The following is a 10694-nucleotide window of genomic DNA, read 5'->3' on the forward strand; positions in this document are numbered from 1 at the left end:
ACAGATGGTTATTATTGTTATTGTTATCCATTTCTTTTTTTAAGTCTAAGGTATCACTTTTTTGTCAGGTTTCAACTAGAGAAACAGAACCAGCAGGAAGTATATATTAAGAAATTTATTGCAAGGAATTGTCTTTCTTGATTTGGGAGTCTGGTTAGGCAGATTCAAAATCCATAGGGATGGCTGTCAGAAAGTGGAGGCTGAAACTTTCGTGCAGGAGTTGAAGCTATAAATCCACAAACAGAATTCCTTTTGGTCCTGAAAAACCTCAGTTCTGCTCTTAAGGCCCTTAAACTGCTTGAATTGGGTTTACCCAGGTTATCTAAAATAATCACTTCAAATCAACTGATTATAAATATTACTCACATCTATAAAATACCTTCACAGCACCACCTACACTAGTGTTTGCATGAATGACTGGTAATGCATCCTTCCCAAGGTTACACATAAAACTGACCATCATAATAAGATATCCATTGTTAATGGCCTTAATAGTAAGATATTAAAAAGCAACCACAAAATAACTGTGACAAATAAAAATAAATATTTATTTTTTGCTACCAAATCTACAAGTTTGCTGGGTGACTTTCTTGGCTCACTTGATGTTGGCTGACCTTGCCCATGATTCTGCACACAACAGACAGGTTGTAGCATGCTGCTGTAGTTTGGCCTTAGTTGGAGTGACTCAGTTCTCCTTCATATATTCTCTCATCCTTCAGTAGGCTAACTCAGGACTTGTCCTTATGGTGGTGGCAGGGATTCAACGAGAGAGCAGGAGTGCACACAGCTATTAGAGTCTTAGGTTTAATCACTTCTACCACATTCCATGGGCCAAAGAAAATCACTAAGATAGCCAAAATTCAAGACATGGGGAAGTTAATATTATCTCCCAATGGAAGGAGCTACAAAGTCATGTTTTATATGGCATGGATATAGAAGAACTAGAAAATTGAGACCATTTTTTACAATAAATCTACCAAATCTAACATATAAAAAAATAAAAACATATAATGATTTATGGGTCATCTAATATGTTGTTTTAATAAAAATTTGATATCCTGCTCATACGAATGGGAAAAAGTTTTTTCTGCTAATACAAAGTGGACTTAGACCGTCATCTACATGTCACACCAGTTTGGAGTGCAGTAATGTATAATGTCAATTATTATCCAGCATGATTTAGAAGACAGAATGTGAAAGCCAAGAAGGCAGATCGTAAAATCAACTTGTAGTTCAGGCTTTGTATAACAGATAGTTCAAATAGAAAAGAAGGTAAAGAATTGAGGCCCGGCACGGTGGCTCATGCCTGTAATCCCAGCACTTTGGGAGGCCGAGGTGGGTGGATCACAAGGTCAGGAGATTGAGACCATCCTGGCTAACACAGTGAAACCCCGTCTCTACTAAAAATGCAAAAAATTAGCCAGGCTTGGTGGCAGGTGCCTGTAGTCCCAGCTACTCAGGAGGCTGAGGCAGGAGAATGGCGTGAACCCGGGAGGTGGAGCTTGCAGTGAGTCAAGATCGCGCCACTGCACTCCAGCTGGTGACAGAAGGAGACTCCATCTCAAAAAAAAAAAAAAAAAGAATTGAGTTCACACAAAAATGAGTTGAAATTATTAGGCATTAAGAAAAACTGACAGACGTTAATGAAATGGAAGAAGCCAAGGGACCAGAGATCAGAGTGTGGGTGAAATGTGTGTATTGAGGCCAGCCCTGCCTTAGCCTTTGTGAGGCCTAGAGCCAGAGTACACATGATGTTCCCCACACTAGATACCTACACGTTTAAAAATTATAATGAAACCTAGCAAATTGTTATATAAAATATGTCTACTACTCATCTCTTGATTAACCTACCTTTATGACAATCCAGAAGGGCTGGAGGACCACACCGGAATGGACAGCACAGGAAGGGCCAGCCCCAGTTCTCAGCCTGCCATCTTGTCTCCCGGCCTGACTTCATCTCATACCAACACATCTGGTCCATCCTGTGACTCAGCATGCAGTCTGAGAAGGAAGTACAGAGGCTCCAAGTGGGCTTTTGCATTTGGCCCCATGAAAGCCTCAGCCCATCAGAAGGCTTGTAGCCAGAGGAGAAGCAGAGAAGGGCTTTTTATAAAGGTAAACTTTTTGCCTAGGACTAAGAGGTAGTATTGTAGTAACAAGGATTTGAAGAACAGAAATCTGTGGAATTTAAAATCTAATCTCCAAATAATTAAAGCGAACCATAAAATATATGTTCAATGTACTTGGTTGCTGAAGTAAAAATAAGATAATATTAAGATTGAGGCAAATCAAGATACTGGATAAAGCAGGCCCACAGGTGAACAAACTTAGGGATACTGAAGGGCCCTGGTCAAGAGCCAAAGATAGAATAAGGGGGACCCTGACATATCAAGTGTCAAAGACTATGATGAATGAAAGAAACAGTGAGGTTCAAGAGAGGGCAGAATGAGTAGAAATGATGACATGAAAATCCTGTATCACCAAATGGCGGACTTTAGCACAGGTGGATTTGGGAGAACATGGACGTGGAATCACTTGGAAGACACATGAAGAGCAAGAAAAAGACTGTTGATACCACCTCCTACTGTTATCAAGAGCACTTCACGTGAAAACAAGCATCCGTTATTTAAAGGCTGGGGAAGAACCAAGTTTCAGATTATAAAGAAGGTAAAGGAAGCAACGAGAGTGAAGCAATAGGAAGGGGTAGGTTTCCAACGCTCTGTGGTAATGGAACCATGACCACATTCCACACCGTTGCATCACCAGGGCCACACACAGTGCCCAGCACACTGTATGTGCCTCATTAAAATAGCTGAATTTATGCATTACATTTGACAGAAGAAAATCTTTCTAACAGTGGTTCTTTCCAAGGAACACATAAAACATTATAAAGAATTGCGTAGACCTTCAGAAAGGGGATCACATAAAGCATTAGATGGCTTTTCAGTTCTGTTCCAAAACTGTGAGTCTACCATGCTGGTTAGGGTACCTGAGTTTCAGTGCCCCAATATTTATAACACAAATGTAAATTACACATGAAACACACACCCCTACAAACATTGCACAAGATTTTTTAAGTTATTATGTCCATAATTTAAAGCTGAAAAGTCCAGCTATCTATAGGTTATAAATATCACAAATCTCCACTGTGATTTTAATATTTAGAGAAAAAAGTCAAAAAGAATGTGACCATCTCCTAATGAATGCAATTACTAAAAATATCATCAATTAGAAATGATTTTCACATCAACAGAGCAGTCATAACAGTGTTTTTGAAACTACAGGTGGCAGCCTATTAGTTGTCATGAGCAGAATGTTTTAATGAAATAAAAAATGTAAAACACATTTCACATTGTACATAACGATTGCTTGATTAAACTCATCTTGGTCATGTATCATAGATATTGAAGTATTTTTAAATGCTTTATTATTTGTTATGTATTTATTTATTGCTCAAACATTTACAGAGTACCTCCCGTGCTAACACTTGAAGGTAAAATTCATTTTAAAAGACATGCAAAGTTTCTTTAGAGCTCATAATTGAATGGCAACAGCAGATAATTATACAAGCAAAGAAGCATGAAAATAGAAAAGTAAAAGTTGTCAAGGGAGATCAAAAGTAACTCAAGGGGTAAGGAAGAACCACTTTAGAAAAAGTATGGATTAAGATGATACTTAAAGAATGAGTGAGGGTGAGCTTAGCGATCAGTCAGGCTGGTATATTCTATACAGGAGAATAGCAAGAGGCAAGAAAGAAAATATCACGTTAATAAACTGAAAGGAATCCAACCAACTTAGAGCATAGAGTGTGAGAAGGTTAATAACTGGAGGTGAGGATGGGAGGGTAGGCAGGGGTCAGATTGTACATGGCCTTATGAACCATATACAACAATTTGAACCTTAAAGCAGGACACTTGGAAACCTACAAAGGATTATAAACTGGTTGGTAACATGATCAAATTTTAATCTCAGCAGAGTAGAAAATATAAAAAGAAAGGAGTAAGACAGGAGATTAAGTGACAAATCAGGAGGCATCTATCCAAGTGAGAGGTGCCGATGAGTTGGCCCAGGGTGGTGAGTGAGGATGAGGAAGCATCATTTAATTGGATGTTGGCACCAGAGCCCATGACTCTTGCCCACTAAGGTTGGAATAGGGGAAGAGGAGCCCATTTGTGGTATAATGAATCTGTTCAGCCCAGATATCAGTTGACTTTGTAGGGCTTAACAGACATCTAAGTGTTATGGCCATGGGGCAGATAAATAAAAGGCCCAGACACCAGCAGAGAGGTCTGCCCTGTAGATACTAATATGCTCAAGCCCTTAATGAATAAATAGTAACTGGACATTTTCAGGGTTCAAATAACCATGAGAAGACAAAATTGGCCCTAACTGAAAGCTTAAGCATTATGAATTTTGGTCATGTTCACTTACTATCTGCAAATGAAACACATAGATATTAAAACCTACCTAGTCACATAAATGGAGAAAATAATACAATACCATAACTATAGAGAAGAAACAACAAAGAGGTGCTTTATAATGCTTCAATATGCAAATGCACATTTTTAAGAAAATACTAGTGAATAATATTTATTCTCTACATAGGACATGGTGAGCACGGCATCTACAGACTTAATAAATCATGGTTTATAAATGATTTTGATTCCACAAGGAACACCGCCTCTGGGAACATAACTTTTCAAAATGGTAAGAAATTCTTGAGTAAACTTCTTAATTATACCATATACACTCTTTGTCAAGTACCACAGTTGTTTCAATGCTGGAAATTTCAGGGCATATGAAAATGACACAAGTAAACAAAAAAAATGCTTTGTTTATATTTAAAACAAAAAGGTCACTTATTTATAATTAGGTTTAGCATCCCCTTCCCTGTCACTTACGTGTATATCAGGCAGGACATTTGAAAGTTACATGAAACCTGGGCAAGTTCTTCACTGTACCAGTCTCTACAAGGGTTTTGAAAGATGTATCATCTCTGGTCCATTCTTGTTAATAAAGCTGATAGCCCAACACCTCAAATGTGACAACTAAAAGCACTACATTTCTAAAATATTCCATAGGGAGCGTTGAAGTGAACTAAATATGGCCTAAGAAGGACTCCGTACTTCTGTAGTTGAGTCCTTTTGGAGGAACTGCAACCTAGCTTAATAGGTAGATAAGACTGAAAACCTAATTTAGGAGTATGTGTTTGTAACAATAGCTGAGACTTGGCCAATTCCAGTGGCGATATTTCAACCATTCATACACTGCTGAGTGTTCAAACTGTGTTCGAATAAGGCAAACGCCAACCTGTAACCAATCCAGCTGCTCTGTACCTCACTTCCAATTCCTATATGGCATTTCCCTTTTTTTGTCTGTAATTCTTCTTCCACCATGTGGCTGTGCTGAAGTCTCTGTGAATCTGCTGTGAATCTGCTGTGGGCTGCCTGATTCACGAATCATTGGTTGCTCAATTAAACTCCTTTAAATTTAATTCACCTGCAGTTTTTCTTTTATCAGGAGAAACTCCAATGCTGATTTAGAACAGAAAATAGAAGCATGGAGCTTTCTAAGGAAACAGAGAACAAATAACCAGAATGATAGGAGGGGGAAAAAAAAATCCCTAAATTTAGTACAACTATTTTTTTTTTTTTTTTTTTTGAGACAGAGTTTCGCTCTGTTGCTCAGGCTAGAGTGCAGTGGTGCGATCTCAGCTCAGTGCAACCTCCACTTCCCGGATTCAAGCTATTCTCCTGCCTCAGCCTCCTGAGTACCTGGAACTACAGGTGCCCACCATCATGCCTGGCTAATTTTTGTATTTTTAGTAGAGACAGGGTTTCACCATGTTGGCCAGACTGGTCTCGAACTCCTGACCTCAGGTAATCCACTGGCCTCAGCCTCCCAAAGTGCAACTATCTCATTTTTTATCTGACACCTAAGCAGCGCTTAACAGCACTAAATCTGGCAACATGTTGATCATGGAGTTACTACGGAGGGGAATCCAAAGTCATCTTCAAACCAAAACCTTCCAGGAAAATAAGTTTATAAGTTATAAGTTGTCAGTATGACGACATTGAAAATGTTTCCCTTGGCGAAGAGAGTGTTAGTAGGAACACAGGACTGATTTCTGGGAGCTGAAGAATGATAATGCAAACACAAGTTCCAGCGATCGGCCAGATGCAAGCACAGGTTTATTAACTTAATTTGATGTTTGTTTTGTAGGCTGCTTTGTTTCATGCCTTAGATGAGAAAGACTTGAACATGTATAAATGAAGCAAGGCATGAGTGGACAGAGAGAAGTTAAATATGCAGAAGACAGTTAAGTGTTTTTTTACCTGACAAAGAGGAAGACGGAGGAAACCTTTTCACAGTGGGATTTGCTCCATGCTGCCCAAGGGAAAATCTGATTTACATGTAGATGCAAGTAAGTTCTTGGTTTTGGCACCAGGAGACTCAGAGGTTGTCTTCCATAGGCTGGCATTTCTCCAGTGATGTCAGAGAGGCTGGGATCAAAGGGAACCAGACAGGAAGTGGAAGGATCTGAAATATAAAAAGAGAGCACGTTTGAAGTAGTTGCGGTGCGGTGGATAATGGGAAAAGCTGCACAGACAAATTTTATTTTTAAAATGGGGGGTAGATAGCTATCTAAACTGATAAGTAGCATTTATTAGAAGATTTTTATACATGTTGAATATTGAAGATAAGTGTTCTGAAAAACATACAGTTCCAGTAAAGGAACATAAAATAATATTTCCTGACAACTTTGAGGGAAAGATTGGTTAATGCCACAGGAATTGCTCGGATTTTGGAGAAGAACATGGACTACAACAGAGGGCCATTTTCTGTGTGTAAAACAAAATGCTGCTTGCTTGCTTGCTTTTTTTCTTTCTTTTTTTTTTCTTTTTTTGAGACCAACTCTTGCTCTGTGGCCCAGGCTGGAGTGCAATGGTGCAATTTCGGCTCACTGCAATCTCTACCTCCTGGGTTTAAGTGATTCTTCTGCCTCAGGCTCCTGAGTAGCTGGGACTATAGGTGTGTGTAACACTCCCAACTAATTTTTGTATTTTTAGTATAGGTGGAGTTTCACCATGTTTGCCAGGCTGGTCTCAAAATCCTGACCTCAAATGATCCACCCACCTCAACCTCCCAAAGTGCTGGGATGACAAGTGTGAGCCACCTCTCTCGGTCACTTCTTGCTTTCAAAGCAAGAACTTAGCACCTGCTTTAAACCTACACACTGTATATTCAGTCAGGTAATAAGTCACTAATAAGGTTTAGTTCTTCTATTTGTACCTATCATTGTAAGTTGTTTCAAGATGCCCTCAAAAAGAGAAGGAAAATACTCAGACCACTTTGCAAGAGGTCGAGTTTTAGGAGTTCAACACAAAGTTAACCAAATGGACTCCATCATGTTTGCAAAAGACTTTCCAGTATTAATAAAATATAACATCATTATAAGTAAAGATTCCTACTGGGATGATATCAGGAACACAGAGAGGCTACCTCTTTGTTTTGTTGCAGAAATGAGGGAGGAAATCAAGAGGAGGAAAGGAATTATATCCCAGTGCCATCTGAAGGGTGATTATTTCAAGGCTTCTGAAATAATTCAAGAGCTTAAGTACTTCCTCCTTTTTGGAAACCTGAGTAGTTGTAGTTTAAACCTTCATTCTTTCCCTAATAGAGATGAGGAATTAGTAGCTCTGGAAAATTGGATTTAAGAAACATTTAGATACCTATTTGGTGCTGTGGGGACACTAAAATGAAAAGCCACAAAACAGCTCACCAGCAAGCTCTAGAGAATGACTCATTTGTATGTAGTTGGGATACAAAACAGGGATCACAGCATAGGGGCTGAAAGCCCTTGACTCATATCTAGAATTTAATTCTGGTCTTATGATTTATTAACCGTGTCACTAACTTTGCATAAGTTACTCTTCCAGGCTTTAGTTCTCTTTTCTGTCAGTACATGTGAGAAACTACAAAGTGTCTATAATGATGCTTATCACGCATGAAATGAGTAACAAATGGAAAATGGAAGCTATTGTTAAGTGATGTGGAGGTCAATTTAAACTGAAAGATGTTAAAGTATAGAGAAAAAGGCCTTTATTTTCCCCAACGCACACTTTTATTTCAGGCCAGATTCAAAATCCAAAGTCATCTTCAAACCAAAACCTTCCAGGAAAATAAGTTTATAAGTTATAAGTTGTCACTATGACCACATTGAAAATGTTTCCCTTGGCGAAGGTCATCTGTGGAGAGAGGCTTTCATTTTGGGAGCTACATATATTAGATTTTGCTATCAGAAAATTCCCCACCTCCAAACATCTAAATTACATCAGCTATAATCTGATTACTCTTGAATTTACTTCAACAGCACCAAAAATCATGTTCTATCTTTAGGGCTTATATCACTGCCATGACAAATACCACTGAAAATAATAATAATTGTTCCTCTGGGCTTCGCAACCCTCTTACAACAGCTGTTTTTGGGTTAATGACCCAATATGAAACATTCCATTCTAAATAAACCCATAAAAATACATTTACCACCTCAGCAAACCTTTAAAATGCATGGGCCCTGATTTAAAACACCAAAATAAAGAGTAAAGTTTAGTTTTCTTTAACCTCTAACTTAATAACCCTGAGTATATCTGGAGTATATTTTACATAGCTTCTAATTTTATCAAGTTTTATGTAAAACCTAAGCAACTTATAACAAATCATCACTCCTTCTTTGTCGTCCTATACTCTTAGTTGATGTTAAGAAAAGCACAAAATTTGTGGGGGTTGAGTCAAATTAAGATCGTATACAACTAATGGATCTATTACATATTATAAAAATTATCTTTAAAGCCTCTTGCTACAGACAGGAATTATAACCCTCATTTTATTCCAGAGACCTAAGGTCCCAGAAGCAGTGAATGACAGAGCTAGAATGTAGGTCTGATTCCTTTAGACTTTTCACTTCCCCCAGTCCCTCTCCCAGTCAGGAAATATAAGGGCCCACCAGCCCCAGTATTTCTCTGCTAGGATTTTTAAAAAAATAGATTTCATTGATTTTTTTAAAAATCTATGAAAGAACAAGATGTCTCAGAAAAAACAGGATTCACTCTACCTTTGACCTACCCTCCTTCAAGGCTCTCTCGTCCAGCGTTCATATGCTCCCACCCCCAGAATGGGAGAAAACAGCAGTATCTTTGAATCTGTTAATAATATTCATAGCTGCCATTCCTGACATATGTGGAAGCCAGAATATGTCTATAATAAGTATAGCAAATTGCATAATAATATATATGTATAATATCAATTTTGGAAGAAAAAGTGTGTGTATTATTTGTACAAGCATAGTTTAAAGTGTAGTTTCTGCAGAAAAAATAAAATTTGCGATGGGAGAAGACCTTAGTTTTTTACTTTATGCAATTCAAGCATAAGTTGTTTTTATAAGAAATGCATATCACTTTCATAATAAAAGAAAAATAACCAAAAGAAGTAATGGTGTAAAAATCTGTATCGTGGCTATCTTTGGGGGGAATGAGAGATTGGAGTAATATTTGAGAAGGGTCATGAGGAGAGCTTGTGTGGGTAATATTGATATTTTAATTTTTTCTTTTTCTTTTTTTCTTCAGAGACAGGGTCTCAGCCTGACACCCAAGCTGGAGTGCAGTGGTGGGCTCATCACTAATTGCAGCCTCTATCTCTGGGGCTCAAGCCATCCTCTCACCTCAGCCACCCAGAGTAGCTAAGACCACAGGCATGTGCCACCACGCTCAGCTAATTTTATTTTATTTTATTTTTTAGAGACAGGGTCTCACCATATTGCCCAGGCTGGTCTAGAACTCCTAGGCCCAAGAGATTCTGCCCCCTTGGCCGTCCAAAATGCCAGGATTACAGACATGAGCCACCGTGCCTGGCCAATATTTTAACTTTTGATCTAGGTAGTGGTTACTTGGCTCATTGGTTCATAATACTTTTTTGATTTTCACATCTTTCTTTTGTATCATTTTAATCAAACTGCTTTTAAAAAGAGTCACCAAAATCAATTACCAACATGTTCAGGTTAATTATACGTTTGGATTTTACTCCTGTTTCCCAGTGTAATTGTTGATAATGCTGACTTGTGCTCCCTAAAGTTTTCTCATTTGGACAATAAATTACATGGTTTTCTATAAGTAGCCTACAAGCATTGTAGTATTTTTAAAGCTGAAATAAACCTTAGAGGTCAACTAGGGCCCAGTGGTTTCCAAAATGTTGCCAAGAAAGCATTCTGAAATGTGTGGTAAGGTTTTTGGTTGTCCCAATGCCTAGAAAGACTATGGGTATTTAGCATAGGGTAGCCAATGGTGCTTATTTCTCTACAGTATGATAGAACTACACAAAGGAATGTGATCTTAGTCTTGTTTTAAAGAAAAAAAAAACCCTGAAATCCAAAATGTTAACTGAATTGCCTAAGAGCACATTCTTAATAAAGAGTAGATCCCATGACTAAAACCTTAGGTTCTTGCCTTATCTACCAGCCTTCTTAGGCACTACGCCAAAACCAAAAAGCTGTTGCTCCATCTTTCCTTTCTTCCTTCCCTTTTGTCTTCATCCTTTTCTCATTTGACTTTCAAACTAAAAATGTGGGTTTTTTAACCTACAAAATAAAGGCAATACCTTTCAACTTTTACTTATAAGTGGTAGAAGATTCAATTTAG

The sequence above is a fragment of the Homo sapiens genome, chromosome 21 (assembly GCF_000001405.40).
Source record: "Homo sapiens chromosome 21, GRCh38.p14 Primary Assembly".
In the NCBI taxonomy this organism is placed as follows: Eukaryota; Metazoa; Chordata; class Mammalia; order Primates; family Hominidae; genus Homo; species Homo sapiens.